At 47.5% G+C, this 18,900-nt stretch overlaps 1 protein-coding gene across 2 annotated transcripts in view, besides 2 other annotated features; it reads left to right on the top strand.

Moving 5' to 3' along the window:
- The window catches only part of GALNT18 (polypeptide N-acetylgalactosaminyltransferase 18), a 351,129-nt gene extending 340,072 nt beyond the window's left edge, over window positions 1-11,057 (top strand). For both annotated transcript variants that reach the window (NM_001363464.2, NM_198516.3), the window contains one exon: window positions 10,644-11,057. In NM_001363464.2, the coding sequence (NP_001350393.1) occupies window positions 10,644-10,790 (147 nt within the window). In that variant the 3' untranslated portion in view covers window positions 10,791-11,057. The remainder of the gene's footprint in view (window positions 1-10,643) is intronic.
- Window positions 1,119-2,094: an enhancer, noted in NCBI's record as "NANOG-H3K27ac-H3K4me1 hESC enhancer chr11:11301387-11302362 (GRCh37/hg19 assembly coordinates)". NCBI's record gives its function as "activates a minimal SCP1, AML or CMV promoter by ChIP-STARR-seq in naive H9 embryonic stem cells {active_cell/tissue: H9 hESC(naive)}" and the evidence as "EXISTENCE:reporter gene assay evidence [ECO:0000049][PMID:30033119]".
- Window positions 16,297-16,798: an enhancer, noted in NCBI's record as "H3K4me1 hESC enhancer chr11:11286683-11287184 (GRCh37/hg19 assembly coordinates)". NCBI's record gives its function as "activates a minimal SCP1, AML or CMV promoter by ChIP-STARR-seq in naive H9 embryonic stem cells {active_cell/tissue: H9 hESC(naive)}" and the evidence as "EXISTENCE:reporter gene assay evidence [ECO:0000049][PMID:30033119]".

The following is an 18,900-nucleotide window of genomic DNA, read 5'->3' as shown; positions in this document are numbered from 1 at the left end:
TAGAGCACCCTCCCCTCCCAGCCTCCAGGGAGGGAGCTCTCCTGGCCTCATACTCCACCCTCCCTGACAGGCTCAGATATTCTCACGGAGGTTGTGTCCCATCCACCCGCCTCCCCCAACCCCACTCTTGGCCGTGATCCATCCTTCCCACATCCCTTCAGGCAGCCAATGCCCAGGGTCACCGCACTTCTAGTCTCTAGGGTGCTGAGGCTGTGGCTGGGCTGGGCTTGGGAAACATCAGATGGGAGTCTCTGAAGGATGCTTTATGTCTCAGAAACCTCTGCTCCTGCCTTCCTCTCTAGACCTTGGCAAGGTGTCCCTTGAAAGGCAAGCAAAGAAAGGGCTGTGGTGTCTTCTGTGCGGGACGTGTTTCTCCAAGAGTTGGTTGTCTGGGGTCTGCACAGCACCTCGCTGTTGGCAAGGCCTGGGCCGGCCCCAAGGATGAGCTGAGCAGCCAGAATCTTCAGCTGAGTGGGCAGCGGCACTTGGTCCGGGCCCGTTTGTTGTGCGCTTTGGTCACAGCCCCCACCCTGATCCTCCGATCCGTACGGTTTATAGCTGATAAACGGATTCCTATCAGTCCTCTGGCTCATCCTTCCAGGAATCAGGACAGAAATGACCATTTGGGCCTGCAGACAATGAAACCAGAAGTGGGGAGAGGCTTGCCCAGGCCACACAGCTAACCGCCAGGAAAGCAGCTGTGTCCTCAGCATCCTAGCTCAGCACTCTTCCCTTTCTACCTGGCTCCGGAAACGCCAACAGATCTTGCAAATTAGAGAGCGGGGCTGGTTTTGGTCCCCTGCCTGCGTGCTGCTCCCAGCATGGTGGGGAAGACAAACCACTGGGCTGGCAGGACTGCGGTGGGGCCAGGGAACTGGCCACAGATCTGTTCAAGAAGCATCAGCAACACAGCCCAGCCTGGGTGTGGGCAGCAGATATGCCCAGGCCACAGGGTTTTACACAGAAGCTAAGGAAATGTGGGCCATGGAGCAATGGTCTGGCCTTGTTTGGAGCAACTGGCACAGGGGATGCCTCTGGGCCTAAGAGTCTAGCTTCTAAGGGACAGGATGGGCACCCAAGGTGGACCACAGTTTGAGAGGACAACTTGAGGCTGTGCTTCACACCCATCAGGAGCACCATGTGGCCCCAAAGTGCCAATTCCTTGGCTATATTGAAGGGGCCTCTTGTCCAGTATAAGTGAGGCAGTGACCCTGGGCACTGTGGTCAGTCCTGAGGGGCAGAAATTAGCCAGAGCTTGTTCAAAGGAGGGCAACCAGTTTGGAAAATTATACAAAATTGTCCCACCAGGAACTGGGAAAGTTAAACCTGGAAATGCTGGGAAAAACTGGGAGACGCAGGCCTCACCTCTCCTGCCGGAAGGGAAGGTGTGGAGGAACAGCAGGCCGCTGGGGAAGCCTCAGGGGAGCTCAAGACAAGGATTTTAGCGCAGTGGAAGGAGCATGCTCCAAGGGTGGGCAGCTGGGGGAAGACTGCATATTTGGGAGGGGGTGAGATCCTTCTCCCTGGAGGTGCCAAGCAGAGCTGAAGGGTCCCATGGCCACAGAGGCCATTAGGCATGTGAGAGCGAGAGGCTGGCCTTCAAGGTCTCTTTCAGCATGGGGATTCCAGGGCCCTTCCTAGGCTTGTCCAAGGGCCCCTTTCAGAGGCCGAGCCTGCAGGTTTCTCCCTGGCAAACAGTGGGCCCCAGCAGCTGCTGTTTCAGTTTCCTGTTTATTCTTTGGTCTCTGTGCTGTTGAGTACACTGAATCACTGCACTCCCCGGGCGGGGGGTGCCCTGGGGTGTGGGGCACAGCAGGAGGAATCTTGCTTTATTTGTGTGAATGCTTCTGAATAGGTTTGTGTGATCGGCTGGGCCATCTCCCCAACACAGGAAGTCGGTAATCCCATGTCCCCTCCCAACACACACATACACAGTCCCCTCCACCCGCACCCCCTGCTTCTCAGTCCCTGCCTCCTTCATCTGTGACTCAAAGTCCCTTCTCAGGGAGCTGGATTTTTTATTTCAATTTTTCAATTGAAGAACATGGATACATACAGAAACATGTATAAAATACACACTTTCAACTCCATGGTTTAAAACAAAGCAAATCCCTAGGTTTCCATCACCCAGCTCAGGAAATAGGACTGCTAGCAACACCCTTGTGATTTCCTGCCCATCACCTTCCCAGTCCCTTCTTCCCAGAGCTGACCACCATCCTGACTTTCACATCATGGCTTTATTTTACCTGTTTGGGAGGTTTATATAAATAGAATAATGTTTGTTTGTATTTTGTCTGGCTGCTTCTGCTCGACATTGTATTGGTGAGATTTATCGAGTATAGCTATAGTTTTTGTTGCTATATAGGTTTCCATTATATGAATATACCGTGAGTTATATGTCTGCTGTACTATTGATGGACGTTTGAGTTATCTCCAGGTTAGTTTTATAAATCGTGTTCTAGAAAGCATTCATGCGCATGTTTTTGGTATAAACGTTTCTGATAGAAGTGTTGGGTCATAGGGTTGTATATGTTAACTATAGTAGGTACTGCCCATTTCAACAGTTGTAAGAACTGAAGTTTTTTTTTAGTCTTAAATTTTTTTAAGAAATTTTTAATTATTATGGATGTGTTAGGCCATTCTTGCATTGCTACAAAGAAATTAAAGAAAAGAGGTATAATTGGCTCATGATTCTTCAGGCTGTACAGGAAGCTTTTGCTTATGGCAGAAGATGAATTGGGAGCTTGCAGGTCACAAGATGAAGGGAGGAGAGAGAGTGGTGAGAGGAGGTGCCACACACTTTTAAATGACCAGCTCTCGTGTAGACTCAGAGCGGAGAGAGCCCACTTCTCACCAAGGGGATGGCCCAAGCCCGTCATGAGGGATCCGGCCCCACCTGCAACCCTGGGGATCACATTCAACAAATATCCAGACTACATCAATGGGTACATAATAGTTGAATATATTTATGGGGTACATGTAATGCTGTCATACAGGCATATAATGTGTAATGATCAAATCAGAATAATTGGGTTATCTTTTACCTCAAGCATTTATCATTTCTGTGTTAGAAACATTCCAATTCTACTTTTAGTTATTTTAAAGTATACAATAAATTATTATTAATTATAGTTACCCTGTTGCATTACTATTAGAGCTTATTCCTTCTATCGAACTGTATTTTTGTACCTATTAACCATCCCTGCTTTTTCCTCTCCTCCCTACTACCTTTCTTAGCCTCTGGTAACCATCATTCTCTCTCCAGGAATTCAATTTTTTTTTTAATTTTAACTCCCATATGTGAGTAAGAACATGCAAAATTTGTCTTAAAATTTGTCTTTCTGTGCCTGGTTTATTTCACTTAACATAATGACCTCCCGTTCTATCCATGTTGTTGCAAATAACAATCTCCCTTTTTTTTTTATACTATAAGTTCTGGGGTACATGTGCAGAATGTGCAGGTTTTTTACAGAGGTATACACGTGCCATGGTGGTTTGCTGCACCCATCAACCCATCATCTACATTAGGTATTTCTCCTAACGCTATCCCTCCCCCAGCCCCCCACCCACCAACAGGCCCCACTGTGTGATGCCTTCCCTGCCGTGTCCATGTGTTCTCGTTGGTCAACTTGGTCCAGAGCTGAGTTCAAGTCCTGGATATCCTTGTTAATTTTCTGTCTCATTGATCTGTCTAACATTAAAGGTGGGGTGTTAAAGTCTCCCACCATTATGGTGTTGGAGTCTAAGTCCTGCACCCAGATTATTAAAGCAAGTTCTTAGAGACCTAAAATGAGACTTAGACCCCCACACAATAATAGTGGGAGACTTTAACACCCTACTGTCAATACTAGACAGATCAACGAGGCAAAAGGTTAACAGGGATATCCAGGACTTGAACTCAGCTCTGGACCAAGTGGACTTAATAGACATCTACAGAACTCTCCAACCCAAATCAACAGAATATACATTCTTCTCAGCACCTCATCGGACTTATTCCAAAATTGACCACATAATTGGAAGTAAAACACTCCTCAGCAATTGCAAAAGAACGGAAATCATAGCAAACAGTCTCTCAGACCACAGTGCAATCAAATTAGAACTCAGGATTAAGAAACTCCCTCAAAACTGCACAATTACATGGAAACTGAACAACTTGCTCCTAAGTTACTACTGGGTAAATAACAAAATGAAGGCAGAATAAAAGATGTTCTTTGAAACCAATGAGAACAAAGACACAACATACCAGAATCTCTGGGACACATTTAAAGCAGTGTTGTAGAGGGAAATGTATAGCACTAAATGCCCACAAGAGAAAGCAGGAAAGATCTAAAATTGACACCCTAACATCAAATTAAAATAACTAGAGAAGCAGCAGCAAACACATTCAAAAGCTGGCAGAAGGAAAGAAATAACTAAGATCAGAGCAGAACTGAAGGAGATAGAGACATGAAAAACCCTTCAAACAATCAATGAATCCAGGGGCTGGTTTTTTGAAAAGATCAACAAAATAGACCACTAGCCAGACTAACAAAAAAAAGAGAAGAATCAAATAGATGCAATAAAAAATGATAAAGGGGATATTACCACTGATCCCACAGAAATACAAACTACCATCAGAATACTGTAAACACCTCTACACAAAAAAACTAGAAAATCTAGAAGAAATGGATAAATTCCTGGACACATACACCCTCCCAAGACTAAGCCAGGAAGAAGTTGAATCTCTGAATAGACCAATAACAGGCTCTGAAATTGAGGCAATAATTACTAGCCTACCCACCAAAAAAAGTCCAGGACCAGACGGATTCACAGCCAAATTCTACCAGAGGCACAAAGAGTTGCTGGTACCATTCCTTCTGAAACTATTCCAATCAATAGAAAAAGAGGGAATCCTCCCTAACTCATTTTATGAGGCCAGCAGCATCCTGATACCAAAACCTGGCAGAGACACAACAAAAAAAGAAAATTTCAGGCCAATATCCCTGATGAACATCAATGTGAAAATCATCAGTGAAATACTGGCAAACTGAATCCAGCAGCACATCAAAAAGCTTATCCACCATGATCAAGTCAGCTTCATCCCTGGGCTGCGAGGCTGGTTCAACATACACAAATCAAGCAACATAATCCATCACATAAACAGAACCAGTGACAAAAACCACATGATTATTTCAATAGATGCAGAAAAGGCCTTCCATAAAATTCAATACCCCTTCATGCCAAACACTCTCAATAAACTAGGTATCGATGGAACATATCTCAAAATAATAAGAGCTATTTATGACAAACCCACAGCCAATATCATACTGAATGGGTGAAAACTGGCACAAGACAGGGATGCCCTCTCTCACCACTCCTATTCAACATAGTATGGGAAGTTCTGGCCAGGGAAGTCAGGCAAGAGAAAGAAATACAGGATATTCAAATAGGAAGAGAGAGAGGAAGTCAAATTGCCTCTGTTTGCAGATGACATGATTGTATATTTAGAAAACCCCATTGTCTCAGCCCCAAATCTCCTTAAGCTGATAAGCAACTTCAGCAAAGTCTCAGGATACAAAATCAATGTGCAAAAATCACAAGCATTCCTATACACCAATAAAAGACAAACAGCCAAATCATGAGTGAACACCCATTCACAATTGCTACAAAGAGAATAAAATACCTAGGAATCCAACTTACAAGGGATGTGAAGGACCTCTTCAAGGAGAACTACAAAGCACTGCTCAAGGACATGAGAGAGGACACAAGCAAATGGAAAAACATTCCACGCTCATGGGTGGGAAGAATCAATATCATGAAAATGGCCATACTGCCCAAAGCAATTTGTAGATTCAGTGCTATCCCCATCAAGCTACCACTGACTTTCTTCACAGAGTTAGAGAAAACTACTTTAAAGTTCATATGGAACCAAAAAAGAGCCTGCATAGCCAAGACAATCTTAAGAAAAATAACAAAGCTGGATGCATCAGGCTACCTAACTTCAAACTATACTACAAGGCTACAGTAACCAAAACAGCATGGTACTGGTACCAAAACAGAGAGATAGACCAATGGAACAGAACAGAGCCCTCAGAAATAACACCACACATCTACAACAATCTGATCTTTGACAAACCTGACTGAAACAAGCAATGGGGAAAGGATTCCCTATTTAATAAATGGTGTTGGGGAAACTGGCTAGCCATATGCAGAAAACTGAAGCTGGACCCCTTCCTTACATCTTCTACAAAAATCAACTCAAGATGGATAAAAGACTTAAATGTAAGACCTAGGACCATAAAAATCCTAGAAGAAAACCTGGGCAGTACCATTCGGGACATCGGCATGGGCAAAGACTTCATGACTAAAACACACAAAGCAATGGCAGCAAAAGCCAAAATTGACAAATGGGATCTAATTAAACTAAAGAGCTTCTGCACAGCAAGAGAAATCATCAGAGTGAACAGGCAACTACAGAATGAGAGAAAACTTTGGCAATCTGTCCATCTGACAAAGGGCTAATATCCAGAATCTACAAAGAACAAACAAATTTACAAGAAACAAACAACCCCATCTAAAAGTGGGTAAAGGATATGAACAGACACTTCTCAAAAGACATTTATGCAGCCAACAGACACATGAAAAAATGGTCATTATCTCTGGTCATTAGAGAAATGCAAATCAAAACCGCAATGAGATACCATCTCACACCAGTTAGAATGGCGATCATTAAAAAGTCAGGAAACAACAGATGCTAGAGAGGATGTGGAGAAATAGGAACACTTTTACACTGTTGGTGGGAGTGTAAATTAGTTCAACCATTGTGGAAGACAGTGTGGCCATTTCTCAAGGATCTAGAACTAGAAATACTATTTGACCTAGCGGTCCCATCACTGGGTATGTACCCAAAGTATCATAAATCATTCTATAAAGACCCATGCACATGTATGTTTATTGTGGCAGTATTCACAATAGCAAAGACTTGGAACCAACCCAAATATCCATCAACACTAGACTGGATAAACAAAATGTGTCACATATACACCATGGAACACTATGCAGCCATAAAAAATGAGTTCATGTCCCATGGATGAAGCTGGAAACCATCATCCTCAGCAAACTATCATAAGAACAGCAAAGAACAGAAAACCAAACACCACGTGTTCTCACTCATAAGTGGGAGTTGGACAATGAGAACACATGGACACAGGGAGGGGAACATCACACACTGGGGCTTGTCAGGGAGTGGAGGGCTAGGGGAGGAATAACATTAGGAGAAATACCTAATGTAGGTGACAGGTTGATGGGTGCAGCAAACCACCATGGCATGCATATACCTATGTAACAAAACTGCACATTCTGCACATGTACCTCAGAACTTAAAGTACAATAATAAAAAATTTTAAAAACCCACCTACTCAGGCCACAGCAATGGCGGATGTCCCTCACCCAACCAAGCTTGAGCATCCCAGGTCAACCTCAGACTGCTGTCCTAGCAGCGAGAATTTCAAGCCAGTGGATTTTCGCTTGCTGGGCTCTGTGGGAGTGGGACCCACTGATCCAGACCACTTGGCTCCCTGGCTTCAGCCCCCTTTCCAGGAGAGTGAACGGTTCTGTCACACTGGCATTCCTGGTGCCACTGGGGTATTGAGAAAAAAACAAAAACAAAAACTCCTGCAGCTAGCTCAGTGTCTGCCCAAACAGCCACCCTGTTTTGTGCTTGAAACCCAGAACCATGGTGGTATAGACACCTGGTCCTGGTCTGCCAGTTGCAAAGACCGTGGGAAAAGCACAGTATCTGAGCCGGAGTGCACTGTTCCTCCCGGTACACTCTCTCACAGCTTTCCTTGGCTGGGGAAGGGAGATCCCCCAACCCCTTGCACTTCCCAGGTGAGGCGATAACCCACCCTGCTTCAGCTTGTCCTCCGTGGGCTACACCCACTGTCCAACCAGTCCGAATGAGATGAACCAGGTCCCTCAGTTGGAAACGCAGAAATCACCCGCCTTCTGCATGGATCTCTCTTAGAGCTGCAGACCGGAGCTATTCCTATTCAGCCATCTTGACAGTGAAACCAGAGTCTCATTATTTTAATGGTTAAATATTATTCCATCCTGTGTATATACCACATATTCCTTATTCATTAACCTATTGATGGATACTTAGGTTGATTCCATATGTTGTCTATTGCGAATAGTGCTGCAATAAACATGGGAGTGCAGATATCTCTTCAATATGCTGGTTTCCTTTCTTTTGGGTATATACCCAACAATGGGATTGCTAGATTATACAGTAGTTTTATTTTCAGTTTTTTGAGGAACCTCCATACTGTTCTCCATAGTAGCTGTAATAATTTTCATTCCCACCAACAATGTACAAAGGTTTCCTTTTCTCTACATCCTCACCAGCATTTATTATTGCCTGTCTTTCGGTTAAAGCCATTTTAACTGGGGTGAGATGATTCATTATAGTTTTTGCTTACTTTTCTCTGGTAATTACTGATGTTGAGCATTTTTCCATAACCTGTTTGCCATTTATAAGTCTTTTGTGGAATGTCTGTTCAGATCTTTTGCCCATTTTTTAATTGGATTTTTTGCCTTCTTGCTATTGAGTTATTTGAACTTCTTATGTATCTTGGTTATTAATCCCTTGTCAGAGGGGTAGTTTGCAAATATTTTCTCCAGTTCTGTGGGCTGTCTCTTTACTTTGATTGTTTCCTTTGCTGTGCAGAAGCTTTTTAACTTGATGTGATCCTATTTGTCCATTTTTGCTTTGGTTGCCTGTGCTTTTGAGGTCTGTCTCAAGAAATTGTTGCCCAGATCAATGTCCTGGAGTGTTTCCCACATTCTGGAGTGTTTCTCCAATGTTTTCTTCTAGGAGTTTTGTAGTCTAATCTTAGATTTAAGTCTTTAACCTATTTTGATTTGATTTTCATATATAGCGAGAGATAGGGCTCTAGTTTCATTCTTTTGCATTTTCTCAGGCAATTTATTGAAAAGACTGTCCTTTCCCCATTGTGTAGAGAACCAAGTCTTAACACTCTCTTGAGATGTCCGTTGTTGCTATGGGAATGGTCATGGCAGACTTGGATGACATCCTTCAAGAAGTTTGCCACCTCTCCCTCTCTCAGTGCACTTCCCACTGTGAGCTGGAAAAGGCACAAAGTGAAGAGCACCAGCCCAGCTTGTAGACTGAGGAGGTGGAAGTGGAGGTGGGGCATGGGTGGGCAGTAGAGACTTCCTGGAGGAAATGGAGGAGTTGAGCTTTGATACATGGTTGCAGCTTAGCCTGTCATGGGAGCATGGGGAAGAATCCCAAGCGGAGAGCACAGCTTGCTTAAAGTGCAGGAACCCTGAGTTAATGTAAATGGGTTCAGAAAAGTACAAGGGATTTGATGTGGCTGCAGCAAAAGTCATGGAGCTGGGGAAGGATCAGAGATGAGGCTAGAAAGGCAGCACTGAGCCATGGAGGCCTTCAGTGCTGCACTGAGGAGCTTGGACTTTGTCCTTTAGGCCAAACATGCATTTTAGAAAGATCACTACTCCTGCCTCTGGAGGTTGGAAGGGAGATCCATTAGGGAGCTGACACAGTTGTCCCAGTGAGAGAAAGAAGTTGGTGGCCTGAACCAGGGCAAGTGTGATGGGAAAGGGATAAGGGGACAGTCACATGACACAAGAGAGGTAGAATTGCCAGGACTTGAGGCTTACTTGGATGCTGAAAGGATAGATAAATGAAAATGTCCATGTTTCTCACACAAATACCTGAGACAGAAATACAGGAGTAGGTTCTGGGGGAAAAAGTGAGTTTGACCATATACTCAAGTGCCATTAAGCTACAAGGGGTCCAATTATAAGAACCTCCACCCACCAAAGCAATTCTGCCTGCTTGGGAGGCCAAAGTCTAGTTGAGCACAAGTTTGGTGGTAACTCAGAGATGCTCAGACAGTCCAGGCTGCCACCTCAGACTCACAGCCAGCAACCCAAAGGGTCCAAGCCCTGAAAAGATTTCACTACAAAAATTGGGGGTTTCCTATTTGCTGCTATAGGGCTGATATGAGGAGCAGAACATCAAGGGGCTTTGGGTCATAAACTGAGTATGAATGGCTACAAACATTCTGGAACCTCAGTAGCATGGGGAAAAATCATGCATGTCAGGACTTAGGGGGCCCAGTGGCCTAAGAGACAGTAACCAGGAGGCTGACTTTGGTTGAAACCAGTATTGATGACTCCAGAGGTCCAACTGGGGGCATGGACCCTAGGAGCAGGAAGCCCCAGGCCTCTGGTGATGCTCAAATGCAGGCCAATGATGGGTCGTCCCAAGAAACTAGGCTTTTCAGAGAAAGGACCCAGCCCCTGGGGTAGGAGCTGTAGGTGCAAACAGGTGTACCACAGCCCAGCTAGGTAGACAGAACTACCTAGGGGTGGGGAGGCCTCTCTCCTAGTGAAGAACTAGGGCTCTGTGAAGACAGCTGTGGCACATATTCAGTCTTCCAGAGGAGACTAATATATGAGTGATAGGGGAGCCTGCAGTTTCATGGGAATGCTGACCTCCTGGGATCTGGCCACACAGATAATGTCAGCCCTCACCAGCCACTTGGCCTGAGGCTCCCGAATTTCTGCATGTTGCCTCTATGCCCTCTGACCCCACTGTCTGCCCTGGCCCCTAGGGAGGACCCATCCAGAACCGCAAGTCTAAGCGCTGTCTGGAGCTGCAGGAGAATAGCGACCTGGAGTTCGGCTTCCAGCTGGTGTTGCAGAAGTGCTCGGGCCAGCACTGGAGCATCACCAACGTCCTGAGGAGCCTCGCGTCCTGACCCACCGGGGCCACTTCCGGCTGCCTCTTTGCTACTGTGTAGCACCTGCTGCAACGTTGCCTGCTGTCCACGTGGGGTTGTTTGGAGTCTGGGGAACCAGGTTAGTGGGCCCCCAAGAAGAGCTTTTTATTTCCTATTCAATTTTCATGGAGTTTATAGAAAGATGCTGATTGGTAGGTGATGGTATGATATCAAACTATTTTGCAGTTGTAAATAGGGGACAGATGGAAAATATTTATAACTGACAATAAAATATTATTAAGAAAAGGGTTTTGCAGTCATTTGGTGCTCTGTGGAGATTCATGCCTGGTTCCTTTGAACTTGGAGTTCCTGTAGCCAAAGATGCGTCCCTATGTGCTCCTTTCTGGCTTCTCGTCCTCAGAAAGGGGGCTTTAATGACTAGCACTCAGTGGGAGCTTGTTGTACAAGCTGCCAGCTCTCTTCATTAGACCCAAGGCAGCAAGAAGGGCACTGTGACCTCAGGTTCCAACCCAGAGGAGGACGGTCCCCTCTGCCTCTCCCATGGCAGGTTCCCCTCTGGAAGATACCTGCAGCCCTTCATTCCTGAGGGACCACAGTTGCTCACTGGTCACTGGAGTGTCATCTGCTGGGCTTCAGGCCACCCTGCCCTCTCCTGAAGTTGCCAACTCACCTCCACCTTCACCCCCTAGAGCTGCCCCCGGCCCAGCCCCTCGCCAGGACACTGCCTGTGTCCATTTGCCAAGACCACTCAGGCTCCTCCCATGAATCAGGGGTTGTCAGTTTCCTTCAGCTGCCATAACAGATCTCCACACACTGCGTGGCTCACATAACAGAAAATGATCGTCTCACAGTCTGGGAGGCTAGGAGTCCAAAATCAAGGTGTTGGCAGGGCTGGTTCCTTCTGTGGGCTGGGAGGGGAATCTGCTCCAGGCCTCTCTTCTGGCTCCTGGTAGTCTCAGGCCTTCCCTGGCGGGGCGATGTCCATCTTCTCCCCTGTGTCTTTACATTGTCTTCCCTCTGTATGTGTCTGTCTCTGGGGCCCAAATTTCCTGTCGTTAGGACGACCGCAGTCATGTTGAATGATGGACCACCCTAACAACCTCATTTAACTTGATTACCTCTGTAAAGATTATCTCCAAATAAGGTCACATTCTGAGGTACTGGGGGTGAGGACCTTACCATATCCTTTTGGGGGACTCAATTCAGCCCTTAGCACCTGGCTCACTCACGCAGGGCTCCAGGTCAGCCCCTCTGGGACAGCCTCAGGACATTTGCACATTAAACGCCTGTGTTTCCTGCTTCCACTGCCTTCCCTGATACTGGAAAGGACTCTTTTAGCCTGTGCTGTAAGACCTCCTATTCAGCCAGCCCTGCTGCCTGGCCCACCACCCAGTTCCCTAACTCAGCCCCCAGCCCTCGCCTAGTTCCTGCCCATGGTCCCCTCTGTTATGAGTAATGAAAGAAGAGAATGGGCTCCTCACACCCCCCAAGAAGATGGACACAATTGTTAGCAGCAACAATGGCAGAAGCCAGAGTACATTGACTGTATCCTGGCCAGACTCCAAGTCACTGCTGGCCAAGCACGGTGGCTCACGCCTGTAATCCCAGCACTTTGGGAGGCCGAGGTGGGTGGATCACCTGAGGTCAGGGGTTTGAGACCAGCCTGGCCAACATGGTGAAACCCAGTCTCTACTAAAAATATAAAAATTAGCTGGGTGTGGTGGCAGGCACCTGTAATCCGAGCTACTTGGGAGGGTGAGGCACAAGAATCACTTGAACCCAGGAGTTGAGGAGGTTGAGGCTGCAGTGAGCCAAGGTCATGCCACTACACTCCAGCCTGGGCAACAGAGTGAGACTCTGTCTCAAAAAAAAAAAAAAAAAAAAGTCACTGCCAACAGCCATATAGCTCCAGCAGCCTGCATCACTGCCTGAGGCCTTTCTCTGGCCATAGGCACCTGCTTAGCCCATGCAGGGCAGACAGGAAGTATTAGAGAGCTTGGTTCATAGGAACAACCCCCAGCCAATAAGGGATAGGCTTCCTCACCCTTCAGGGGTGCAAATTGGAGGCCTGATCCTGTAGTCTCAGACAGGCCCTGGAGGGACTCAGCCCCAGTTGCTCCTGAATGCCCCTGGCCTTTCTTCCCTTTCCTGTCTCATATCCCTCACTCCTCTGCACTTGCCCCAATCACCTCCCAAATGCTTGTCCCTGAGTATGCTTCTGGGAGAAGCAGCTTACGCCCACTCCTTCGGATTGTCCCCACCCATGGCCCATCTGCACCTGGACACCAGTGATACCCAGATCCACGTGTGCACCCCAGAGCTCTCCTCTAAGTTCCAGGCTTGATCTCTCACTGCTGATGGGCCCTGGGCAGGCGTGTGGCCATAATGCAGACAATGCTGATCTGAGGGCCCCCATAAGGCCCGGCCCAGGGACCAGGACCAGCACCACCTCCACCAGGTGCTCGAACCAGACACTCCTCGCGACTGAGCTCTTCCTGTCCTCACCCTCCACCACCCCTTCTTGCCCTCAGTATATTATGGCAGCGATGCCTCCGAAACAGCTCTGAAATCTTCCCCAAGCCTCTTCAACACTCACAGACAGCCTCCCCAACTCATCTATCCTCCACACTGTGATAGCTACAAGGGTCTTCCTGAAATACAAATATGATCAGATCCCTTCCTTCCTGAAATCTTCAGTGGGTCTCATCAAAAATTTTAAATGACTAGCTCAGGCACCAGCCTTGAAGCTTCCTCATTTGGTGAATCCAGAGGCTGAGTGTCAGAAGCCCGGTGTCCTGGCTGCCACACACACCTGGTGGCATGGTGTTAGTGCCCCACATCCTCTCCCCTATTTTGAGGAAGTTTTGGGGGAGGTATATTAGTTTGCTAGGGCTGCTGTTACAAAGTGTGACAAACTGGGGAGCTTCAACAACAGAAAGGTATTGGCTCACTGCTCTGGAGGCTGGGAGGCCAAGATCAAGATGTTGGCAGGGGTAGCTCCTTCTGAGGGCTGTGAGGGAAGGATGGCATGGATCAGTTCTGGGTCTTCTCCTTGGCTTGTGCTTGGCCTCTTCTCCCTGTGTCTCTTCACATCCTCTTCTTTCTATGCATGTCTCTATTTCCAAATCTCTTCTTCTTCTAAGGTCGCCAGTCGTATTGGATCAAGACTTACCCAAATGACCTCATACTAACTTCATTCCCTCTGTAAAGACCCTATCTCCAAATAAGATCACATTCTGAGGTACTGGGGGTTAGGACAAGTTTGGGGTCAGGTGACACAATTCAGCCTCGAAGCTCCCTCCTTCAAGGAACAGGGACATAGGGGAGGGGTGGTGAGGGCCAGGCCAGGCCAGGCCCCAGGAGGCTGCCTACGCTCATCCCGCCTTGCTCAGGCAAGTCCTTCCTTGTTGGGGGACATCCCCATGGTCCTGACCTCCACAGAGATAAGGGTGGGCACTTCACAGGTGACAGGGAATTTTTGCATAAGTATCTGAGGCATTCATCATTGTCCTCCATGTCCACATCTCTTTTAAAGAAAACTATCCCAACCACAGTCCCAGGTGTGACCCTGTTTGTGCCATGACCATAGCTGATTCAGCCTGACCCATGGACAGGTATTTTGTTGGCTGCTGAGTAGGTAATGACTAAGCACAAAAATGACCAGCTGGGGCCAATCAAATTTTGCCTGTGAATTTGCACCATGACACACCATATTCAGCCAATTGAAGAAGGCCAGGACCCATGGCCATGCACAGGATGTACCTGGGGAAGAGCCAGCCTCAGAGGACCAAGAAACTAGACCCCTGTGCAGGCTGGGATCATGGGGAAAACCACAACTAAGCAGAGAAAAGAAAGGAGCTGATGAGCAAAAGGCAGCAAACTGGCCCTGGAGCTGCCTGGGTTTCCTCCTCCCAGACCCAACCCATACACACCCTGATGTTTTTTCTTTTCCCTCAGCTGGTTGACCAGCTCCCTGCTCTTTACAACAAACAAGACTGATAGAAGCAGGATGTAAAGATTTTAGATACCAGGACCTACTCCCTCACAGCCCCTCGCCCATGGGGGAATGCACACACAATCCCTACAACGGCTGTGCACACATGCAACAGAGGTACACATGTTTCACCATCTATGTACACATCCACGCACAGGTTAACATAGCCACACACATACACATATGCACACACATGCAGCAGGTTGGACACATGCAGACATACATGTACATACTCAGATACACAAACGTGCATGAGTGCAAACACACTGACTCCATAGAGAAAAGGGATTTCTGCTCCTCCCAGAATCTGCTTTTATAAGAATAGGGCTGTCATCATTTGACATGGCCCTTGTGAAGCAAAGGTTGTTGGAAATCAGAGCTCTTTTATTCTTACCATTTCTAATTACAAGCAAGAGATGTAAGGGGGTTCTGAGGCAAGACAGAAGCATTCACTCTCTGCCCTTCAGATTTTATCGCCATGGTCACCACTCTCTAAAACCCAGTAAAACAAACAGAATAGTCACCCAAAAACGTGTCATCTCTCAGCCATGCTCCTTCTCCTGCCTTCAGCTCCAAACAGGAGGGAGGGGAATGAGGTAGACACCCTAGACCACATCTAGCACCTGACCCCATAAGACCCTCAAGTCCCACTGCCCTGCCCTCTGCCTCAGCCAACCTCTCTACCCACAGTCAGGAATTTTAACCTTCCTTGTTGTTTTGGAAACAAGATTGGGCAGAAAGGGCCTGGAGAGACATTAGCCCTAATGTGGGTGTCTTTTAAAATTATATGGTGTAGCCACATCGTGGAAACCAGGTTTTAAAGACTGTCACCACATAATGTCTCTATGTCCCTGTCCAATTGAGCCAAGTTGTCCAGATCTGTACCCTCTGAGTATCTCTTCCTCCCCGTGAGCCCCTCCCATTGCCTTCTGGCTCCTGCCGCTGCCACCCTCGCCACAGCCTCTAGGGGGCACTGTGCTCCCTTCGTGCTCCCACCCCCAGGTTCCTTTACAGTCCAGGTGAGGTACACTAGGATTTCCAAAAGGAACTGAACTACTAAAGGAGGACTCCAAGGAAATGATCCTCAAACCAAAGAGATGGCGTGAGAGTTATTTCTCCCCAGTACTTTCTGTTCCCTTAAGTTGTTCTACTCACGCCTTTCCACGGGCCTGGTCTGTCTTTGGTTTCTAATCATGGAAATGCTCCTGGTAGAACCTGACCCTTTCCCCAACAAGGGGAAAAAAAGCCCCTTCTGTACTCAGGATATGAGTCGGGGCCTCGGATCTGGGGAAGGGGAGATGAAATGAAGAGAGTTTAACAACCGAAGTTCTTCGAAAGCATGGCTAGGGTAGGGTGACGAACCCTGAGACAAGAGCAGAAGCCCTTCCTACCCTTAGAGCTAGAGGGGCAAGGAGAGGGAGGAGTGCCAGCAGGCTCACTGGAGGCTGCAGCCAGCAGGACCCCACAGCCAAAGGCAGAAGAACCCCCACTATAGAAACCACAGCTGAGCGAAGAGGGAAAAACCACAGCCAAACGAAGGGGGGGGAAACCCCCCTCTCCATCTGCTGTCAGATATTCCACCAAAGCCTCCCACTGGCCAAACCCAGCTGGGGGTGGGGGTCGGGGGAGCCACTGATTCAGCCCACAGGGGTCAATACAGAGCAGGCCAAGAAGAGCAGGGAATGAGTCACCAGTACATGCCACCCTCAGCCTAGCCCTGGTCTGGATGTCACAGGCCACTTGCCCATCCTGTCTTGCCAGTTTGCATCCCTCTCCCAGTCCCTGAATACTCTTACATGGACACTAACCATACCACTTCCTTTGACATTTAACCATTCCTTTTATTGGTAAGAGAGAGGAGACAGGAGAGAGATCTCCCCAATTACAGCATGAGCCACCTGAAGACATCATTGGCACTGCATCCTTCTGTCCAATTCCTCTGGGGTCATTGAGACCCAGACCCCCTCTCATAGGCTTGCTTCCTCCTTATCTCTAAGGAAGGTGGTCATGAACAGCCCCAGCCCCATCAGCATGCAGGGACCTGCAGTTTTGATGCCCTAGATGAGTCTGGGGTGAGTTTTGATCTTGTAGCCTTGGAATCGCAAACAGACTCCATCTGTTTAAGGGCATTCAGTTGGTCCTGGCTGCCTGAAGTGATGTGTTGGGGAGGATTCTGAGGGTCTGGCTTCCATAGGCAGGAGTATCAGAGAGGATGAGCAGGAGATGGGTGAACTGTGTGTGTTATATATTTGGCCTTTCCATCCTGCCCTTTCTACCCCGTCTGCTGTGCTGGCTGAAGAGGTCCTTCTCCCATCAGGAACTGAATGTCCCCAAAAACCTCAGCCCACTGGGTTGGTGCTCTGGAGCTCCACCTTGGCTAGGGTGCTACCACCAAGGGGTCACCTACTCGTAAGTGCTATGCCCTGCTCCAAAGACACAAACCCTTGGTCATGGTCACCTGCCCAAACCATGCGAACCCTCCATATGCGTTTGAGGTGCTGGCCTTTGCTATGGATGCAGGTTCCTCAGCCCCTCGCTCTTTGAACTCTGGCTCCCTCCCCTTTCCATCAGGGAAGGGGCTCCAGTCTCAGTATATCTGCTCACCTGCTGAGCTCACTGGATTATGAGTGGTGTGTAAGAAGATCCTAAAAATGATAATAACATCAACTAATTGATGACTTTGATGGCCAGGCACTGAGGTGAGTACTTCTATTTTCTCATTTAATATTCAATATAACCTTATCACGTAGCGCTATTATTAGCACCCTGTTTTACAGTTGAGAAAACTAAGGCACAGAAAGGCCAAATCATTCGATAAGGACATATAACTAGCAAAGGCTGGATTTGAACCCAGGGAGGCTGACTGTAGAGCCTTCCCTTTTATCCTCTTCTATACTATTCTGCCTCCATTCTGGACCCTGGGAACTCCACAATAACTTTATGCTGGAAGCTGCCATTGATACCAAAGTGTCCCACCCTGAAGTTCTACCTGGACCAAAGGAGCAATGACAACTAACACCTATAGAAGTGCCAAACCTGGCCCAGTAATATACCAGTGCCCTACCAACTCACTTAAACGCATGTTATCCTACAAGATGGTTCCAGTACTGACATCATTTTACAGAAGAAGAGACTGAGACACAGAGGTTAAATAGTTTGCCCACAGCTAGCGAGGAGTAGTAGCCAGAACTTGTACTCAAGCCCCCTGCTGCCAATCATCTGTGGTCTTAACCACCATAACCTGCTACCTCCCAGCTACCTCACTGCCTATGCACTCGCTGCAGAATCCACAGGAAAACCCCTCTGGGAACCAACTTCCTGTAGCTCCATGTGCTGCCAGAGCTGTAAGCACCGCCCCCTGCTTCAATTCCCTAGCGAGCCTGCCCTTCCAAACGTGACCATGGTGATTAATGAGCCAATTATTTCTGTAGAAGACATGGTACAAAATAAATAGCCCATTTCCCTTCAATTTACTGTTTTAATAAATAGCGCTCCATGCTCTGGTTTTGTTTATTGCTGCTCATACCTGAAAGTTTGTGATTAATCTTCTTGTTGTTCATTTCCAAAATTAATCACATCTGCCTGATGACTTTGAAATATAGGACTGCATTTGTCCTTCGATGTTAACATCAAGACACCCAGGGCTGGGAGCTGGGGGATGAGGATGGGGAAAGGCAGGTCTGAGGAAAGACTGAGCAGAGGGCAGGATGCCCAGAGCTCTGGATGCATGCCATGCACACTGAGACCTGAGTGCCCACACCCAAGAAGTGTGGCCAGGGAGGCTCAGAATGCAGTGTCATGATTTATGGTTCAAGGAAAACCACCAGGAGTGATGAGCACGTGAGGAAGAGCAGAAACTCCTCTTTCCTGTACTTGAAACTTTGGCCAATTGGCCAACCAGGGATGCTGCACACAAAGATTCCAACCAAAATCCACCGGATGGGCCAAACTCACAAAGGTGTTTACCTTCTTTCCAGGGGTCACAGCAATTGCATAGTTGTTTATTCAACTGGTTCTTTTGTAGACCCCTGGGTATGGGCACAGAGGAAAAGAGCAGAAGTCTGGGTGTCTCTTGTAAGGTGCTTACTATCTGAAAGGATGTCTTAGGAAAATGGTAGCTCCTCAGTGTACAAT

Source organism: Homo sapiens, chromosome 11, assembly GCF_000001405.40.
Source record: "Homo sapiens chromosome 11, GRCh38.p14 Primary Assembly".
Lineage (NCBI taxonomy): Eukaryota > Metazoa > Chordata > Mammalia > Primates > Hominidae > Homo > Homo sapiens.
Note: the sequence above shows the minus strand (reverse complement) of the source record. Positions and strands in the feature narration are given on the sequence as shown.